The following is a 22,039-nucleotide window of genomic DNA, read 5'->3' on the forward strand; positions in this document are numbered from 1 at the left end:
AAAAATACTGTATACGTTGGTATCCTTCTCAGCTGTATCTCTCTCCATGATACTTGCCAGCCCTACCCCCATCTTCCAGCTCTTCTTGTAAAACTCTCAAGGTTCTGTCTCTCTATAATGGATCCTCCCTCAATCCAACTTTCCCTACCTTTCTATTATAGAATGGACCTGACCCCTCTTATCTCTTCAACTGGAACCTCAATGAGACCCTCTACTCCGTGGTCTCTGCATTGTTTTCACATCTTTATTGGAGAGAGACTTTATTATTGTCAAGCAATGTGATGTTGAGCAACTTGCTTAACTTCTCAAATATGTTTCCTCAATTATGAGAAAGGAAGGGTAGATTAAATGAACCTGGAAAACACCATAACTTTAAGACTTAAATGTTTTTATTTTTGACAAACTTGTAGAAAATTTGCAAGAATAATGCAAAGAAATCTTAGCTGTTGATACCCATCACCCATATCTTCAAATGTTAACATTTTACTACATTTGCTTTCTCTCTTTCTTTCTTGCTTTCTCATCTATCTTTACTTGTTTTCTAAACTATTTAAGAGTAATTTGCAGTCATGATCCATTTTACTCTTAAATATTTCAGTGTATACTTCCTAAAAATGAAGAGTTCTATCATATGCGACAGCATAATTATAGAAACAAGGAAAATAACAAGTATAAAACTATTATGTATTCCATACTCACTTTAAGGGCCTTCTTATTTTAAATCAAATGACTAAAAGTGGATTGTGTTTCATATTGTGCTTCCAACAGGGTTGAAGTTTTAATCCTCCTAACCACTCAGTAAGACCTTGATATCAACCCCATTTCCTGTGGATTTGCTCTCAGAATGATATCTCCATATCTATCTGGTTTCTTGCAGGGTGGTTGCAAGCCACCCAAACTATCCTTGGTTATTGAAGTAAAAAATCAAAATTTAAAGGGACATATGGTAAATATATTAGGACCCACAGAATTAGTAAAAGACCAAGAAACCAAAATTTTAAAATCTGTGGGAAACAAGGGTGGTTATCCAAACAGAACAACAGCTAAGTTTACACTGCAGGTTCACATGGTGAGATGAAGTAACAGCCACCACCCTTCCCATTGACACTGCCACCACCATCATCATCAGTACCACTGTCACGACAGTGATTTGACCATCCTCTCTACCTATGTATCACACACCCTAGATGCAGAGTGTGTGATACAATCTAAAATTTTATGTTTAGGTCAATTCATCCTCTGGGTATCATTATCAGGACAGGAAGCCATAATGGAAGGTTAGCCTGGCTAACACTCAACCCCCAAGACCATATAGAAAGTGCAAGAGGAATAACTTTTTATGAAGCAATTAGGATGCTCCTGGGAAGGGGAAGCTGAGGAACCATATGCTTGTACATTAATCATTAAGAAAAAATATACAGCTTTTATTACATTGGATATATGAATATTTTCTACCCACACTTGCAAAAGACTGATAGTAAAATCCAGATATTATCATTACTAAAATCTACCCCAATCTTATAAATGCAAATGCTTATGGCAATTAAATATTTATTTCAAAAGAAGGGCCCATCTGCTTGGAAAGAAATTTACTTTAGAAAAGAGGGTTGCTATTTGAGATAGCTTTAATATGTATGTGCAGCACTACCTCCCTCATACCTGCCTTGCCCCTCTACCACCAAGAAAGTCAAATAGACCCACATAAGATTTATTACAGCTAAGTTTAAATGTACAAATGAAACACCTGACCCAGTCAGCAATGACATCCATTAGTTGTTTTATATAATATTGCAGAAGACTAATGTCTGGAACATTAAATAAATAAATTGAAAATATATCATGAAAGTATGAATTCTAAAGAACCCGACCAACCTCTTGTGACCCCTTTGAACCAAAAGACTACATATAAAAAAAATTAATGGGACAAAGAAAATAACTTGACAAAGAAATTGAAAAGGAAGGGAAATTACTACATGTAACCACAACTGGGGACAGATTGTATCACAGGATTATTAGAATTTGGAGGAAAACATTATTATTTTTTAAATTGAATTGGATTGTTTATTATAGTTCTAAAAAGTATTGAACATGAGGAAGATTCCTAGTAAATATTAGATTATACCAGGAAATAATGTATATGAGAGGAGCGTCTCAGAGATAAATCTCTATATAAACAGTACAAATATTAAATTTTTCTTCTTGTAGCACCAATCTGATAAGAATTGCTCTTATATTTTATAAATAGCAAGTACTGTAATTCTGGTTTCTTACCTTTGCATATGTGAGCAGTAATGTTTTTAGAGATGACAACCATGGCAGTATTTCATGAGCTAGTCTAGTTGATGATCATTTTGAGGGAAGTACAGAAGAACTCTCCTGGGGAAAGTGTGGCCTTCATATTTAATTGCAGCGTGTTAGCTGCTTAACATCTTTTATCTACACTTCCACCTTTCAAAATGCTATTCAGCCAAAATTTTATCTATCTCCTCTAGGAAGCCCCTCTGAATGCCCTCAGTGGAATTTTTCTACCCATGCCCCAGGCTCCCCTCGTGCTTTTTAATATAACTGTATCACTTTGGTTTAGTTTGGTTTTGTCTTGTCTTGTATGACAGAGTGTATTATGGGTAGATACCCACCTCCAATGGGTTTTAATTTATTTGTATGGATGTGTATGTATATATGTAGTATTTACCTTCAAAGAAAGAAATATGTATATATGTTCATACATACATAGATATATACCTATTTATTTATTGTAGCATTGTGGTAGCATGCCATGGGCAGAGAAAATGGTTAATAAATGTTATTTAGAAGAATGACTAAATAAAAGACTTATTGGGCAATTCCAGTAATTCTGGTAAGCAGGAAAGTTCATGGGGGCAGAGCTGCAGGCATAGAAAGCTTTTTTCTTCATATGAAATCTAGTTGTTCTTTAAATTGCAATCAAAATACATGTTTTTTTACCCCTACTTGTCCCTATCACTGGAAAAACCCAAATTGCCTCACAGGTCATGATAACTATGTAATCCTGGTCTAAGCTTCTCCTGCTTTAAAATATACCATGGTCCACAGGGATCCAGGTAGTCAAGCAGATATACTCTTTGCCATTCCTTGGATATCAGTGATATAAATTACATTCCCACTGCTTGTGTCTTCGGTGTGTGGAAAATGCAATCTAATATTAAACCTTGGACACAATTTTACAGCACTTTGCAGAAGCAAGTCCAGTTTCCAGAGAGCACTAGACAAAGAGGTGGAAGAGAATTCAAGCTGATATCAGGGAGTCTTGTAAATGAGAGGTTTTCTAAATAAGAATTGGGAAAAGTTCATTAAAACAAAACCACTTCAACCCACATGACTCCAAACACTGTACAATGAATATATATCTGGTTAGAAAATCTCAGTGGTTTCCAAAGCTTTTGTCTTAGATTTCTGTTTTTGTGTCTTCAAATAAATGTATAGGCTTTCATAATCCTTAAACCAAGTAAAACCTCTCTTGCCACAGTTGTACTTAAAATTCATGGCAGAAAAATAATGCAATGAGTGTAATCTGTTTGTTTGCTAACAAGCACAACTAGCTTTGCCCAATTAACTAAAACTGGAAGAGAAAGTCATTTCCCTCTTTAATGCTGTTTGGTGTTTTTATAAGTGTGAATAATTGGGAAATTTTAATACTGAAAGTGTCCTCTGAATTTTTGGTAGTAATTATGGTGGAAGGTCTGACCTTTTCAGCATTCTTCTGCGCTCTGCCTTGAGTTTCTTGAAGGTTAATGCTGTACATCACTGGTCTCATAAAGCATTACTAGATGATTTGAGGAGAGAATTTGTACATGATTTTTCTCATTCTCATGGGTTAAAGGTCCCGACTGAGTTTTTCTTCCATGCTGGCCTCAACTGACTGTATCTACTTCCAGGAGAGAGACAGAAAAAAAGTATCTGTTATTCATGTGCTTTTCCAGATACTGGCCTCAGAACTGGGAGTAGCTTCTTGTTTGGACCAATCCTTTGCCTCCTTCCAGTGTGCTCATTGAGATATTGGAAACCATGTCTAGGTCAGTGTTGTATTCTTACCTCCCACCCAGTGGGCATATGTGAAAAAACTGGTGATCTGGAAACATTTGGGAAATTGTCTACCCCGCCAAGTTGTTCTAAGCTACTCCAATATTAAAGCAAGCCTGACTTTATATTTTGTGCTTGTAAATATATTAATTTTGTAAATCCAAACCTGGAAATATTCTTAGGATTTAGACAGAGAAAAAAGCTGGACATATGCATCTAATTAAGCTAAAACTCTACTCACTGTTTATGTCTGGAGTTTTTTCTTTCAGAATGAGTACGGAGAAATTTTGATCAATGTTTTGAATATACACTAAGGCAAATTTTGCATCAAATGTTTAGAAACAAATAACTTTATGCATAATTTTGCACATAAAAATTGTTATAGGGCAATACTATTTATGAGGGAGCAATGGAAAACTTCTTGATGTGCATTTTTCCCCATATCAAATTTGGAAAGTTCATAAATAAGTTTTATTATAAGGAAAACTAAAGGTTATACCCTCTTTTATTAATTCAGCTTCAAATTTGGTGAAGTACAGCTAAATTTCAAGAGGCATTTCACATTAATTTGATGCTCAGCCTTTAGTTTATTGAAGAGTCAATCCAGTTTCAGAAATCATGGAGACAGACTAGTTAAATGAGTATATGCTGACCTAACAGGCCAGCCTTTTGAGGTTCACCTGTAACTAGTTTGTGTACTCCATGTTGTGGTCACATTATATTCAGCTGGGAAGGAGCCTTGTCTGAATGCAGTAAGGATTTTATTTCTCTTTTAATGTGCTTTGCAAGATAGAGTACTTCAACTACCAAATATGTGCCCACTGAATTGCTTTGAGGTTTGTTCTTTATGTACTGTGTGGAATTGTGGGGAAAGAAGTCTCTGTTGACTTGAGCTAGCAAAACCAATATTTTAATTCAAATAGAGCACTCACCTGGGAAACTGGCAAATTTGGACTACAGCCCTTACCCCAACCTTGTTTTCTTTCTTCTCTCAGCCTCATTGTAAATTAACCAATCATTGACATCCACTTAAAGCATGCTGCCTTTTTAACTGAGGGCAGTGTGTGACCTTACTTTGGATATATTGAAAATGGAGGAATAGTTTAGTTTTTAAAGAAAATGGAAAGGAGAAAGGAGGGGCCTTTACATCTTTAACACTGAGCTCATTAAACCTCTAAAATTGATACCTTGAACATTTTCTCACATCGCCTTTACAAGACAGCAGGTTTACTTTAACAATGCTTAATTGTAAATAACAACGTCAACAACAAAACAACCACTACAGTGTTTGTGTGGTTTTGTATATTGTAGTGCTTAGGGAAAAAAAGACATAAAAATAACTTTGCAGAAAACATGATGGATCTATACCAGGAAGGTGAGATTACATAACTTGAATCATATGGGCTTGTTAAACTCCTTCTCCTTGACTCACTCATCACTCAAGAAGCTGCCTCAATTGCAATCTAAAATTGACCATTTCAGGAAAAGCAAACCTCAGCCTTCTCCAGAGGGTCCAATCTGGGTTGTGGTCATTATTTTACTACCAGTAATTTTAAATCTTCTTGGAAACATTACCTTTCTAATTTACTGTAAATTTTGACGGATCTGTGAAACCACACTTGAGATGTTGGTAAACTAAGTAGATATGTAGAATATGGATCAGGAGGAAAACAAGCAGTGCTAAATAGAACTGGAAGAAAAAAAACCCACCCCCAAACCTATAGTACAAGCCTGGAAATCAGTCAGCTTCAAGATGCTTCATGAATTGCAGTACAGCAGAAAGTCAATCAATTTTTTTTTTTAATGTTTACCTGTGGACCTTTCAGCAAACTATAACAGGACCTGATGCCACTGGATAGTTATAAACAGTGACACTTCAAGACAAAGTAGGATCTCCTCATATTCACTCCTCAAACATGCAGGGTCCCAAGGAAGCCATTCAGAGAGACCAACTTGACACAGTGAAAGCATTTGTCAGAGTCCTTTTCTTCTTAAATAAAGATCTGTCTCATGATCTTCTCTAAGAAGTTGGAATATTGCTTATTTTCTAGGGCTGTTCTAACTTTATAAAGCAAAGAATATTCCATACTAGGGCAGTTCTTGATAGTTAAAAACCAACTAAGTTTCATCACTGTGCCTAGGAAGGACCAACTGAATTTCCTTGTGATTAGTTTTGTAATAGAAAGTCTGGGTTTAAGAGAATTCAGACTCTCAAGAGGTATTTGTAACCATTTATTGAGTGACAATTCAGAAAGCTTGGGAAATATGGAAACTTTATTGGGCAGTACGGTAACCATTAGCACAAATTTTTTTCCCACATAGAATAACACCATAAAATGTCCAATTACAATACAACAAAATTAAGAATAAAAACAAAAAGCAGTTGTATCTTCTTGACTGTAGAACAGGGGAGGTTTAATAAAGTCTCATTTTAATATATAGTTACCAACTATTTATAGACGTCCAATTAAAGGTGGTAGGTTGAACATAAGCATTTCCTTTCAGTCCTTCCTAACCCTCCACTAAAACATCAGTAAATATATATGTCTTTGAAAACGTAAACCTACAAAGACAAAGCAAAAAGAGAAGAGACAAACCATCACGTGGTTAAAGATAAAATGCAGATGGATAAAGCAATTGAATGCAGCAGACCTGAAAAAGTGAAATGCTAAACTGAGAGTGAGGAAAGGGGAAACAACAACTTGATTTACTCCAAAGAATCCTTAGTATTCTCAGGCATTGGTGATGCCAAGTAACTCTGGATGTGGGAGGTGAAGTAGAGCTTTAAAAAAAAAGAGGGTGAGTTGAAAGAATATGTAAGATGAAGGAAATCCCAAGGTTCTCTTCCCCGACGAGGGCTGTGGATGAGAGGTTTATTTTCTGGAGAAGTGAAACATAGGCTCTCTGGGCTGGGAAACAGCAGGGGATAAGGTTTCATACGAAACAGGGAGATTAAGTAAATGTTACTGATACTGGGATTTGTCTAACAAAATGGCTTAATCATAGCACCATACAGTGAAATCCACAGTCCACAAGGCTTTACTATGAAGGCAAAACTTTCAATCAGCCTCTTAGTGCCCTCCTCTTTGATAGGAGCAGACTGTAAAGGATCACCAAACATTCAAGGACATTATCTGATATAAAAGGCAGAAATCAAAATAAGCTGACTAGAACAATCTGAAGGAAACAGAAAATATACAGGGAGAATGAAACTAAAATCAACAAAGAAACCTATTATTAATACTATTATGGACGTAAGAGAAGATATTACAATTGTAGAATTGGAATGAAAGGCGATTTTTAAGAATAATTCAGAGGACAAGAAAACATGCAGAAGTTAAAATAGCAGAAATGAAACCTCAAAAGAAGATTAGGAAGACAAAATGAAGAATCTCCTAGAAAACTAACAAAAATGATAAAAAGTAAATGAGAAAGTTAGATGACTATTCTATAAATTCCTATAGCTAAATAACAGGAATTCTAAAAGAGAGAATAGAGACAATGAAATGTAGAAAATCATTAAATCAATTATTTAAGGTAATTCCCCAGAACTGAATACTGTAAGTTTCCAGATGGAATGAGGCTAGGCAGTGACCTAAAAATAGATTACTGCCATACCAAGGAGTATTATTGTAAAATTTCAAAAATATGGTGAATAAATGAAGAGCCAAATGCATTGCAGAGAGAAAAAAAATTAGATGTCATAGAAGAAAGAAGCAGCAGACTGGCTTTAGACCTCTCAACCCATTATTGGCCAGTAGAAAGTAATAGAGCAATACTTTCAAAATTTTGAGGAAAAATGATTTTTGATTTAGGGGTCTATCAATTAATTAACCATAAAGATGAACTCTCAACCATAAAGGTAGAATCAATTCATGTTGTGACAAGTAAAGTCTTAAAAATTTACCTTCCAAAAAGTTATTGAAGTTTGGAATATATGTACCCTGCAAGACAAGTGAGTAAACCCCAAGCAATGGCCATATGAGGTCCAAAAAACAAGAGATGTAACATAAGACATGGACAAATGCAGTGCCCTGAAAAAGGAGGAAGTAAACTCTCAAGATGAGTACTATTTAATATATGCCAAATCTAGAAGGCAGCCAGTACAAGCAAGTTAATCAAAAGGCTTTTGGAGAGTTTCTTTAAACAGATGATATTGACTAGATACCCAAGGAGTTTGAACAGATTGAGAGATTTTTTCACTGGAGGAGTATTTGGGTAGAAGTGATGTGTTTAGAGATCTAAGCAAATTTTTTTAAAGATTATTATCTTCAGGAAAAATAAGCAAAGAACAAAATAACACCAAGATATAAAAAATATACCTTGTGTAAAAGTATAAGAGTAATTATACTACGTGGTTCAACTATGCATAACATTTACATAGTCATAATAATGTAAGTAATGGGTACTGATCTAGCAAAAATTATGACATTATTCTATTGGGATGAAGGGGGATGAAGAAAGTACATGTTTGAGGTGTGTAGAAATAAGTGTAAGTGGACCCTTGGCCTGGCGTCATGGCTCACACCTGTACTGCCAGCACTTTGGGAGGCCAAGGTGGGTGGTTCACCTGCGGTCAGGAGTTTGAGACCAGCCTGGCTGACATGATGAAACCCCATCTCTATTAAAAATACAAAAATTAGCTGGGTGTGGTGGCCTGGCCTGTAGTCCCAGCTACACGGGAGGCTGAGGCAGGAAAATTGCATGAACCCAGGAGGTGGAGGTTGTAGTGAGCTGAGATTGCGCCACTGCAGTCCAGCATGGGTAACAGAGTGAGACCCTGTCTCAAAAAAAAAAAAAAAAAATTATAAGTGGGCCCACACAATCGAAAACTGTGTTGTTCAAGGTTCAACTGTAGTATGATATGCTAATTACTTAAAGATATGAAGATAAATAGCAAAATAATAAAGAATTTAAAGTGTTTCTGGAGAGTGGGAATTTGGGGAAAAGGGTTGGTTGGAGGGCTTGTTATTTTTCCTAACATGAAACTACTTACTTTACTTACTTGCCTTTAAATCATGCGTATGTTCAGTTTTAAAACATTAATTAAAATAATTTACCAACAGATTTGTTAATGCCAAATTTATGACAAAGACTGTCTCAAATTTTTTCTTTTTTTTTTTTTTAAGACAGACTCTTACTTTGTAGCCCAAGCTGGAGTGCAGTGGCGTGATTTCAGCTAACTGCAACCTCCACTTCCTGGGTTCAAGGGATTCTCCTGCCTCAGCCTCCTGAGTAGCTGGGATTACAGGCATGCACCATCCCACTCAGCTAATTTTTGTATTTTTAGTAGAGATGGGATTTTGCCATGTTGGCCAGGCTGGTCTCGAACTCCTGACCTAAAGCCATCCATCCATCTTGGCCTCCCAAAGCGCTAGGATTACAGGCGTCAGCCACTATGCCCAGCCCCAAATTTGCTTTAAAATCTTAAATCTGTTTGAATTTGGCAGTAAATATTGTCTTTGATTTCTACATTGTCATATGTTGCCTTAAATTTTGTTTTAGTAGTTTTAATAGATTTTTGTCATCACTACTAAGGTTACTTGATTAATAATGAAGTTATGCTCCTTTATAGGGGAAATATTTTATGTCAGTTATAACTACAAATGCTAATGTATAATCATGTAATGATTTAGGCTTTTTATTATTAAAATCTAGAAATAATATCACATGAAAATAAATGTCATAAATCACTCAATTTGAAGCCACAGATATAATCAATTTTTAACATTTTAGATATAAGCATAATTGGATGTATCAAATCATTCCAGATGTAGAGGTCAAGAGTTCTAATTTCTTTTTTAAAAGGATACCCACATCGGCTGGGCACGGTGGCTCACGCCTATAATCCTAGCACTTTGGGAGGCCAAGGCGGGTGGATCACCTGAGGTCAGGAGTTGGAGACCAGCCTCACCAACAAGCTGAAACCCCCTCTCTACTAAAAATACAAAAATTAGCCGGGCTTGGTGGCAGGCACCTGTAGTCCCAGCTACTTGGGAGGCTGAGACAGGAGAATTGCTTGAACCCAGGAGGCAGAGGTTGCAGTCAGCCGAGATTGTGCCATTGCACTCCAGCCTGGGTGACAGAGCGAGACTCCAACTCGAAAGAAAAAAAAAAAAAGGATACCTACATCAACAGTGAGTGTCTGTGAAAAACAGTTAAAATTTATTAGACACTGTGACAAAGGCTTTAATAAAGTGCTTCGTTATTTAACATATATATGTTGATAAAATTTAATTTTCGTTCATATAGATGAGAAAATACAGCTTTAAGTAACCTAAAACATCAAAAATTACCCCAATAATCAGTGACTATGCCAAAATACACCCTTTCTTTTAGAGATAGAAGTCTATATGGCACTGAGAGCTCAAGTTTGCTCCTTATCACCTTCTTCATGAGTCTTGGCCCTAACGTGTCAGTTAACTGTGATATTTAATATTATTTTGACACATTCCCTATAGGTAAATGGTCACAGTCTTGCCTATCTAAGTAAAGGCTTTCAGCAAATTAATATAATCCTTATGTAATATAATTCATTTAGATATCTTTCCTCTAAAAAACTCTGAGCCCTTTTTCTATGGCCATTTATACCAAAACGATTCTAATGACCTAGATAGACACTAGTCTCATCTAAATCTGGTATCTGGTTTTTATTATGTTGCTTAACCCTGGGAATGAAACCTTTAAAAGCTAAGTCTGAGGAATTGATGTGAATTTATCCATATAATGAAAGTGGGACTTAACCAACTCAAATGATTTTTCTTTGTTCAGATTCTCAGCCTGATTAGACCTCTATTTTGATACATTCATTCAACATATTTATCAACTGCTTGCTATGTGAAAAATGCTATCCTAAGTACTAGTCATGGTCTGATTGGTAAGTTTCATTACTTGCAGAAAAATGAAGTAATTGTTTATTGAATGACCAATGTGTGCTAGGCATGTTTATATATAATCTCTATATATGCAGTACCTAATATAATCCATATATATGTAATACATATAATCTAATTTAATCTGTATGAATCTCTATTATCATCCCTGCTTTAAAAAGAAGGAAGCTTCTGGCCAGGCTCAGTGGCTCATACTTGTAATTCCAGCACTTTGGGAGGTCAAGGCAGGCGGATCATCAGATCAGGAGATCAAGACCATCCTGGCTAACATGGTGAAACCCCGTCTCTACTAAAAATACAAAAATTTAGCTGGGTGTGGTGGCGGGCGCCTGTAGACCCAGCTACTCGGGAGGCTGAGGCAGGCGAATGGCGTGAACCCAGGAGGCGGAGCTTGCAGTGAGCCAAGATGGCGCCACTGTACTCCAGCCTGGGCGACAGAGCAAGAGCCTTGTCTCAAAAACAAAAAAAAAAAAAAAAAAAAAAAGAAGGAAGCTTTTACTCAATAATGTTAACTTGCCTAATAAATACTAGGTTTTTGTGTTGTAATACAAAGTGAAATATAAGAAATTATTCGGGTTTTTTCCAATGTATGTTTTGGCTGAATCCATGTGTCTTATATATCAGTAGTTTGGGAAATACTTAGAAAACAATTAGATTATCAGGGGCAAAACACCAAAATGCATAAACATCAGGGTGCAACATGGTGACAATTTGTCTACTAATTATGATCTCTTCCTTGTGTTCAGTTCAGTTGTGTTGCGACTGAATGACTTAACAAGACTGAGATTTTGGAGGTTATTCACCATAAGATCTTAAGGAGATGATAATGATCCTTTACAGTGATGATATAGAAATTCTTGAAAAGAAGTAGGCCTTTAGGGATTGAAAGAATGAAAACAAAGAGGATGGATGTTTTTTAACTGAAGGTAGAATAAATTACTCTCTAAGGGGAATGACATCACTTGGATAAGATTACCCAGATGATTAAAGGCTTGGAAAATGTCCCATTGAGAAAAGTCTAAACCATCTGAGATAGCTTAGTGTAAAGAATGGAAACTGAGAGATTACATATTAATGAATAGTTTTTTAGTTTATAAAGGGGTATCATTTAGAGGAATTTTCTGTCTAAATGGAAGTCTGTACATAAAGAATTAACTGATGATACAGCAAAGGAAACTTTTGCTAAATATTTTTGAGGTCATTAAAAACTGAATTAACTACCAAGCAATGTTGCAGGCTATCTTCAAAGGCGACTGTTACAAACACATACTTATTCAGCCATCTGGAATAGTTTATCTGTGATACGATAGAACATCATGTGATAAGGAATAAATCAGAATTCCCCTTAAGTACCCTTCCAGCTTTCTAATTTAAGGCTCAATATGAACTTTCACTTTGCTTCCTTTTTCAGGACTCTGCAACTGATAACTCAAGCGCTATTGTGTAAGGATACCAGATTTAGATGAGACTGTCAGCAGCCCTCTGGGTCCTCACTGCTCGCAGTGTCCACAGGCAGCAGCAGCAGAATCTGGGAGTTTATTAGATATGTAGGATGGCAGATCCACTGCAGGCCTCCTGAGTCAGAATCTGTCCTTTAAGAAGATCCCCAGGTAGTGCATATGTGCACTGAGGTTTGGGAAGCACCAGTCTAGTCCATTCTCTCTGTCACTAGAATAAACTGTCCTGGCCTTTTTCCTAAGCAGATTTCTTTTCAGATTGTTCCAAAAGATAATATGGAAAAAAAATCTCCCTTGACTCCAATGATTATATTGATGGGTATACATTGATTTTTATTGCCAAGTTTCTATTTTATGGGAAAACTATTCTCCAAAAAAATCAAAACAAGAGACTCAAGGTTGTCTCACTCAGAGGCACTTAAAAAATAAATAAATAACCTGGCCACCAGGCTTTCCACAAGGAAAAGGAACAATTAAGCATTATACCAGAGGTCTGGTATAATGGTTTCTATTTCATACAAAACTAAAGGTAGTTTTTGTCTCTCGTTCTCTGTTTCTGCTCAAATATCCATCCTGCTCTCTCTCTCTCTCTCTCTCTGCCCTCTCTCTCTCCTTGTCTTTGTGTGTGTATGTGTGCATGCAAAGATGTGTGTTTGTACAACCAAAAACCTTGGAAATTTGTGGTGTTTTTACTCCAGCATCCTGACTTTATTTAAATCAAGATGTAAATAAAACTCTTTTGTTTTGAAGACCAATAGGAATTAAATCCAAGAAGGAAGGCTTTGTAAAATATGGTGCAGGTCAACCACAAACATTTCAAAGGGCACCACCATTGAGACAACATGGAAGTGGAGGAAACAATTGAACAACATTAGAGTCAAGTGAGAGTTGACTGTGAAGGGCATGGGGAGTTTCACAGTGACTCCTGGGTTTTGAGCTTTTGTGAAGATAACAAAAGATGCCTCTTGATTTTAATTTTTCTAATCAGCCTTCCCAAATTTATTATGGAAAATTACTTTAAGTGTTTATACTTTCCACCTCTTCTCTGTATGATCTGTATAAAATAAAATTACTTTACATGACATTGTACCCTGTCTGCCTTCCTCCTTATTTGTCCCAGTGCCCTTGTAAGGAGAGAAGCACTGGACTGTAGAAAAATGAAATATCTGATGGTAAGCATCATTCTAAAGACAACAAGTAATGCAGTTTAAATTATGGAACATTCTCCCTAAACTAATTTAGAAAATGATTACCACTATAGTGGCCAAGTTAGCGCAAACTCATTTAGGCCACCTTGTTTTCCCTGAATGAAACATGAACTCCGGGGAAGCCTGTTGTAACTTTAAAGTTTTCATTTAAATAACTACAGCTTTATTTTAAGTATTTCTTTCATTTTTTTCAGTTTACAAACTAACAGATAAGAAATACCTCCCATGATGCTGTGCATTCGTCTGGTGCTTCTGCAGTAATTAGTGAGATTTCTGGATGAATTATGCCATTTAACATCTGTTATTAATTATAACCACATTTATTGCCTCATAACAATATCATTACAAAGGAAAGCTGTGCAGATGAGAAGCATTTCTTTGTAAACCCTAATAAGTGTACAATGTGTGTGTAAATATTTACTTTTCCATAATTCTCTCACTGTTTAATTGTGACTCTGTGTTTAGCCATTTTAATTAGGTTGAATTTCCAGCCCTTTGGCATTTAGATATTTAAGTTTAATGCTCTGTTGATGAAATTTTCTTGCTTTTAATCTATATTACATGTCACAGAAGCTCTGTCTGTGCTACATCAAAGTTTTTAAAAGGGAATTTGGTAAAAGGAAGGCTAGCAGGGCAATCAGAATCCATTCTGGGGCAAGGGGGGCCACTGTCGATTTCAGTGACCTGCTACAGTATTTTTTAAGTTATTATACTACTAGTCAAAAACTGGAAAATGTGCAAAGCTTGACATTAGTATTTTTATGAGAAGCATGCTAACCGCATTCTTTATTTTTCTTGTGTCCTTAGGTAGAAAAGCAATAGCTAAATAGAAAGGGCTGGTGCCTGGCTAGGAGGAAAACAGAAGCAAACTATGGGATGAAAGAGACCCTCATCTTTAAGCACTAGGGATTTCTCCTGGAGGAAGAAATATTCAGTTAAACACTTTACATGTATTTAGATTTGGGTTTAGTGGTTTTTGCAGTTGGGAATCACATATCTTGATTTTTAACCCTTCAAATTCTGGGAAAACACTTACCATAGTTCTATCATTGGTATTACCTTTATCTCAACCCAAATTGTTTGCATAGGAAACCAGGCATGGTTTTGATGATGGGCTGAGGGAAGGAAAGGAGAAGGAAGCCAGGAAACTAGAATGAGAAGGAGCACTATAAAGTGAGAATGGAGAACAATCTAGCTGACCTTCTCCCAGCCCTTTGAAGTAAGAGTGGAGTTACAGACAGAACCACTTTTGCTGGCAAAACTGCCACGGCTTTTGGAGAAGCTCAACAAGCAGGAGTGAAAGGATTTATTCTGTTGATGGAGAGTCTGAGCTCTTCAAGTCAAGAGGCAAGTAGGGAGGTAAGATAAAAAGAACATATTCTTGTGTGGAAGGAGGCTAAAAAAGTCATTGCCAGGCTGTGATTGCCAGGATGACTATCAGGAGCTCTCAGTGGAGATAAGAATTTGCAAGTAGTCTCTAAACTTATTTCATTGGTCTACTGAATGCCATACAGTCCACCAGGGGCTGTCTGCATCTGGACCTCAAGTCTTTATTTTTCTTTCTTTCTTTCTTTCTTTTTTTTTTTTTTTGAGACGGAGTCTTGCTCTGTCACCCGGGCTGGAGTGCAGTGGCGTGATCTCAGCTCACTGCAACCTCCACCTCCCAGGTTCAAGTGAATCTCCTGTCTCAGCCTCCCAAGTAGCTGGGACTACAGGTGCAAGCCCCCACATCCTGCTAATTTTGGTATTTTTAGTAGAGACGGAGTTTCACTGTATTGGTCACGCTGGTCTCAAACTCCTGACCTCAGGTTATCCACCCATCTCGGCCTCCCAAAGTGTTGGGATTACAGGTGTGAGCCACCGCATCTGGCCCTCGAGTCTTGATCACTGTTGATAGCATTCTGAGTCCTTGGGGGCCTTTGCATCTTCTCTCTTTGGGGGGAAGAATGCAAAAAGGATCTGCAGCAAAAAATACTGGGTCTTGATAACTTTGCTTGATGAAGCAAGGAGGAAGATATAAGGTCAGAAATAATTGCGCATTTACACGCCTAGAAGAAATGTCAGGAGAGCAAGCTTGTGTTGGCAAGGAAAAAAATATGCCTTGATTTGCATGTACTAAGTTTAATGGGTCCTAAATTGTGTGATTTTTCTTCCCAAACTACCTACATGGTTCTTCTCACCCAGTCTAATGTCCTTATGCTGATGTTCTGGTGCTACACATTAAGGAATAGCTATGATTGGTGTCACCTGGGCCAGACAGATACTGATCACCAGAAAAGTGGATGCAGTACTCAATTTGATGTGGAGCTTCAAACATTAGCCTCTTAACTGAAGTATGTTTAATTTCTTTGGTGAATCATTAAAATTCAAGGCCAATCTATAAAATTAGCTTCTATTACTACATCACAGTTGTACTTTTATTAAGTTAGAAAGCCTCATAACTATCTTCTGCCAGAATCTCAGCTGTTAAGAAGAGAATTTAAACCTTCCAATTTCTTCTCCCTTCTACCATTCACTCAGGCCCTCCATGATCATAATATTGATTTCATGACCTTATTTCCTCTTCTAAAGAGATACCGTCTTAACAGTGCTCTCTTTGGCCATCACTGTTACTGATGCTTATATTTATATAGCTGTATTAAAATATTAGATTGATGCTTTTGCGTTGTCCTGGATTCACAAAGCATCATCCAGAAGAAACAATCTAACAGGAGTGGTAATGTCCCAATTTTTTAAATCAAAATCCTAAGTTCAATTGAAACCCAATGGCCCCATAAGACCACTTATGTGTGGCATAACCAGAACTGAAATTGGTTTTCTGATCCCTAGACTGATGATTTTTTTTTTCATGTTGCCACTTTCGGACTCAACTCCAAAGCTCAAGAACCACTAAGATTGTAAAGACAATGACAATCTTATCTCTCTCTGGAAGAAGATGCACAATTCCCAAATTAACTCCGATGTAATGTAGGAAGACTTTTATTCGTCCTCGAGGGAAGAAAGTTTTTACATTTAACCCAAAGAGATTGAAAAACACTAGACTTTGCTAACAGCTCTCCATAACTTCTATACAAATCATATGAGCCTATTTCTAAGAATACTTATATCTGGCTGTCACACTTGATTTCTTCCTCTCAGAAGTAGAGTGGCTTTCTTTTGTAATCCTCAAATCACTTTGCTTCCCACTCTGAAAAGTCACGAGCAGGGCAATAGTTCCACAACATAACTAGTGGTTGAGAAACACAAGGCCATGCTGCAGTACTTCCCGAGTTTCAGGAATACTAGTCATAGTCCTGGGAGTCTCCCTGACCTGAAAATTTCATTGAAGAGTAGCTGACATTGTTAATTTAACCTCCTCCTCTTTATCCAGTATGGCAACTTCATGCAACAACAACAAATTCCAGGGACTTGCCAGTGTGGTGATTTTTATAAAGATGAGTTGTTGACAAATGTAGTAGTTTTCTTCCTCCTTATTAAACAAGACCTAGGCTAGATCTCCTATAGCTAATGTGTTGACACTCTAGTGTGAAGCACTCTGTTGAGCACTTCTAACACAGCAATCAGAAAAACAAATTATCCCCTGAGTAGTCCCCCTTACTAGCAGGTAAGAATATAAAAATACATTTGCTTTTTCCCAGTGGTTAATTTTCTGTTCCTCTGGAGATCAATATCTATTTACATTTACTTACCTAAGGAGAGAAAGGCTAGAAATTTTTCAGAGGACAAGGTTAGAGGTCAGGAAATTATTCAGTTGCATTCAGAAACTTCTAAGAAACACTTGAAACATTTGACATGTTGAAGCCAAGCTCAACAGCTCAAACAAGATAAATCTTATTCTGACTTATCAATATGAAGGAAAAACTATTAGCTTTGACAAAGTCATTGCTAAAAAGTATTCCAAAGCTGAAAATTTGGACATGTCATTGTCCTCCTAAAAGTTTTCCATATCTTTCTATCACCTATAGGATAAAACCTAAACTCTATAACATCATTTTCATAATCTGGGCTTCATCCATCTGTTCACTTGCATCTCTTGTCATCAAATCTCCCCACTCTACTGTATTTAAGAATTTACAATTCTCTGAATACTCTGTGTGTGGGCCTCTGGGTATTTGCTTATGCTATGCCTTTTGCCTGGAATGACTCATCACCTTGCTCAACTGGAAAACACCTACTCTTCTTTCTAAATGCAACTCAAATGACACCTGCTTAATGGAGTCTTTCCTGCCTTCTCCAGCTGACATAGAGGATCCAAGATAGGTTATACACAACTCTACCCTGATCATTATCATCATCCTCTATTAGATTTGTCTCTTTCCTGGCTGTCTTTATCCCAGAAGGCAACCTCCTTACGAGTAGGTATCATATGAGAGAATAAATGATTGTGTCCTATTCCCAAAATGATTCCCTCTATATACGTACTCCCAAAGGTGGGAAAGTATAGGTAACCAATGACTCTCACGTGTACTTCTTCTTCAGTAAAATGTTTACTGTCTTCAGTAAGTCTTTGCTTTTTGAGGTGAGCATTAACTTAAGACCTAGATTAAAACCAAAGCAGGTCATGAACTGTTGTGGTCATTCTCTTACACTTTGCCCACACTTCCTATCAAACTCCTGCCTCTGTTCCTCCTTCTCCATGTCAACCCTTGCCCAGAGTGACAACAGTAGAAAATGTCTTTCTAACCTCAGAGTAACAGTCAAAGGTAGCTAAGATTTCATAATCTCCCAACATGATGACAAAAAACACACAGGTAAAAGCATGCTTTATAGACATATGAATCCTAAGTAAACCTTAAATGTTTTTCTATTCACCTCCCTCCTTCTCTCTTGCATTTTTGGAATTAGTCCAAATTCCTTTTGAGATTACCTTGATCTTTAAGTCCTCAAACACATCTAAAACTTGTCTTGCTTCATCTGGTATAGTTTCTTTTTCATGACATTATAAGAATCAACTAAAATTTCAAGAGTCCAGAATGTTGCAGCTGAAGCACTTTCATATTTGAAAAAAGCATAATCACAATTCTTTCCCCATATGCTACCTTCTCAGCAGGGCTATTTTTTTCACCCTCAGAAATGTATAGTGTCAGAATTCCTCAAATAAGTTAAGAGTTGAGAATCAAACTCAGAATGATCCTGTCACTACATTCCAGAGGGAATGCCTCTTTGCCCAGGTCCCTGGAATCTCCCATTTCCAATTCTGTGCTGTAGACCTGGAACAAGCTTAAAGAACCACTGTTCAAAAAGGATACAGGTATCTATTTTCATTCAATTCAACATGTGGTCTGAGATGCATATCTGAAAGCATAGTTTAAAATTTTTTTTTGGTCTTATGATATTTAAAATTTTCTTGAGACCATCTGGAAAGAGGTTTCCCTTTAACAATGTCAGTCTTTCTCCACATTTCTCTAGTTATTGCTTCCTTTCTGTCTGTCCTTCCAATATTTCTAGGCTGTGGTTGGAAAGGCATTTTTTTCCTTTTATACTTAACATTTGGTGAACTTTTCCTCAGGTTACACAAGGTGCGGGTGAGGGTGGAGGTGGCTTTCGCTTTCTCAGCCCTGACCCCTCCAGCTCACACATCCTAGGTTTCTGTTCTTTCTAAGTACCTCTTCTCAGTTTCTTCCAGAACAGCCTGGATCCATATCTGCTTCACCTTGGTAACTTGAACCTTTGATGGATCTTGGGGAATAAGCAGCTCGTACTGTGAACTCTGATACCTTTTACATAATAGCATATCAATAAATGCTTGAATGAGGGAAAAAGTGAATGACTTTCACTAATTATGAATTTCTTTCCTTGAGCTGTTTGCCTCTGACTTTTTATATATTCTGAAAGGGAATACTACGTCTATATTTACTAAGTCCTTTCTCTCATTTTGTTACTTTTTATCTGGTAAGAGAGCATTGATTGGGGAAATTCTTTAATATAAAAAGGTGTAAAAGAGGTGATGATATAGAAACAACTATATGCATCCCCAAGTGTGCAGCAAGAGTGAGGACTGATTTGACATTGAAATGCTCTATGTCTATAAAATTCACTCATTAGAAGGCTTTTATCTTGAGGCTGTAATACCTCGAATTAGCATAACTTTGAAGTCTTCCTTCTATGAAGCTGCCCAAGTAAGTGATTCTCAGTCTTTGCAAGTCATCTTTTAGCCATGGCTTTGTTAAAGCAAGCTGACTTAAGCTTAGTCATAATTACAAAATTTTGGGTGGGCAAAGCAAGATACTTTGATATTTCTACTTTATCATCTGAAGGAACTTAAGGAAGATGAGCTCATTTGGAGAGAATGAATATCAATGGCCATTACAAGCTGTTACTGCTAATGGTCTCTGAATATCCCACATCACTTAGCACTGGAAGTGATGAAATTGATTTTAAGAAAGTTTGCTGTTCTAAAAAATTCCATGGTTTGTACGTGGGATTGCTTGTCTCTGAATTGAGGGCACAGACATTTCTACATGTAAGCATTCCATCAGGGGCCTTGGGGCATTGGAGCAAGTTTGGACTGGAACCACTGCCTCTGCTTCTGCCTGCATGGTCTTAATCCAAAGCACCCAGAACATGTATTCTGTAGTGGCAGCAGTTCATTGGAGGTGGAGATTCGCAAAGACTTCAAGTAGTTGGAGAGACTAAAGCCAGGGATAAGTTCCTTTGCTTATCTGCTATTGTAGCTAGAAGAGCTAATCTCAATGAGAAGCACAAGACTTTCCAATCTTGGTATTTATGGCTGGAGCATAGAACACATTTTTTTAAAAGAAAGAAAGTAAATGAGGTGTGTGCAGTTGGAATAGTGCTGTTATTGCCTTCCATTGCTTGAAATTAAGTCATTTGTGGGTAGGACCAGGACTCAAGCCTCCAGTAATTATATACTTGCAAGACTACACCAACTTAAACACAAAAATTGAGGATATACTTATTTATACAAATATAAATCAGAATTTTGTCAAAACAGAAATGTCAGTGCCCAGCTAGCTACCATTGTTGGTAGTACTGGAGTTGCCCAACCATGCAGTTCTTCCTCACCAACCTAAAACTTCATGTTTAGAACTGGAAACAATTGCCTGAATTGCACTCACCAAGGTTAGAATAAGTATTATACTTATTTCAGCATATAGTACAAAAGCTAGGTAATACAAGAGAAAATTAGTAAAACATTAAAAGAAAGCAATTAAATCTGAGTTGCAAGAAGGAGGGAAATATTACCTCAGTGTGAGGGAGTTGGATTTGAAACTCTTCTGTTATAATTTCAGCCTCAATCAGCCTCCTTTATAATTTTGCAGCCAGCAGTAAATTTCCTTTAAACTTACAGTATCTTTTATGGTCAAGTTATTGACAAAGGAAAAGCCAGCTTCTTAAAAGTAATCTTTTAGGCTTTATGAAAGTAGAGAATAGTCTATTTCTGATTTTTTGTTTTGTTTTGTTTTCTATTTTGTTTCCTTATTTACCTTAAGAAGTATAGGTTACAAAATCAATATACACAAATCAGTATCACTGCTATATACCACCAGTGACCAAGCAGAGAATCAAATCAAGAACTCAATTCCTTTTACAACAGCTGCCAAAAATTTTAGGAATACCTAGGAATATACTTAACCAAGGTGGTGGAAGATCTCTACAAGGAAAACTACAAAACACTGCTGAAAGAAATCATAGATGACACAAACAAAAGGAAACACATCACGTACTCATGGATGGGAAGAATCAATATTGTGAAAGAGACCATACTATCCAAAGCAATCTACAGATTCAATGCAATTCCCATCAAAATACCATCATCATTCTTCACAAAACTAGAAAACTTCTAAAATTTATATAGAACCAAAAAAGAGCCCATCTAGCCAAAGCAATACTAAGCAAAAAGAGCAAATCTAGAGACATCACATTACCTAACTTCAAATTATACTACAAGGCTATAGTTACTAAAACAGCATGGTACTGGTATAAAAATAGGCATGTAGACAAATGGAACAAAATAGAGATATCTGAAATAGAGCCAAATACTTACAGCCAACTGATCTTCTACAAAGCATACAAAACATAAATTGAGGAAAAGACCACCTATTCAATAAATAGTGCTGGAAAAACTGGCAAGACATATGTAGAATGAAACTTGATCCTTATCTCTCACTTTATGCAAAAATCAACTCAAGATGGATTAAATACTTAAATCTAAGATCTGAAACCATAAAAATTCTAAAAGATAATATCAGACAAACTCTTCTAGACATTGGCTTTGGCATGACTAAGACCCCCAAAGCAAGTGTAACAAAAATAAATAAATGAGACCTAATTAAACTAAAAAGCTTCTGCACAGCAAAAGAAATAATCAGCAGAGTAAACAGACAACCCAGAGTGTGTGAAAATATTTGCAAACTATGTATCTGACAAAGGACTAGTATCCAGAATCTATGAGGAACTC

The 22,039-nt window shown here is 36.7% G+C and overlaps 1 long non-coding RNA gene across 1 annotated transcript; it reads left to right on the top strand.

Annotated features, from left to right (window-relative positions):
• Positions 1 to 3,959: 3,959 nt before the first annotated feature.
• Positions 3,960 to 13,431, top strand: LOC112268046 (uncharacterized). Its single transcript, XR_002956916.2, has 3 exons — positions 3,960 to 4,052; positions 10,831 to 10,936; positions 12,364 to 13,431. It is a non-coding gene; the product is annotated as an uncharacterized LOC112268046 (long non-coding RNA).
• Positions 13,432 to 22,039: the final 8,608 nt, after the last annotated feature.

This window comes from Homo sapiens, chromosome 9, assembly GCF_000001405.40.
Source record: "Homo sapiens chromosome 9, GRCh38.p14 Primary Assembly".
Taxonomy (NCBI): domain Eukaryota; kingdom Metazoa; phylum Chordata; class Mammalia; order Primates; family Hominidae; genus Homo; species Homo sapiens.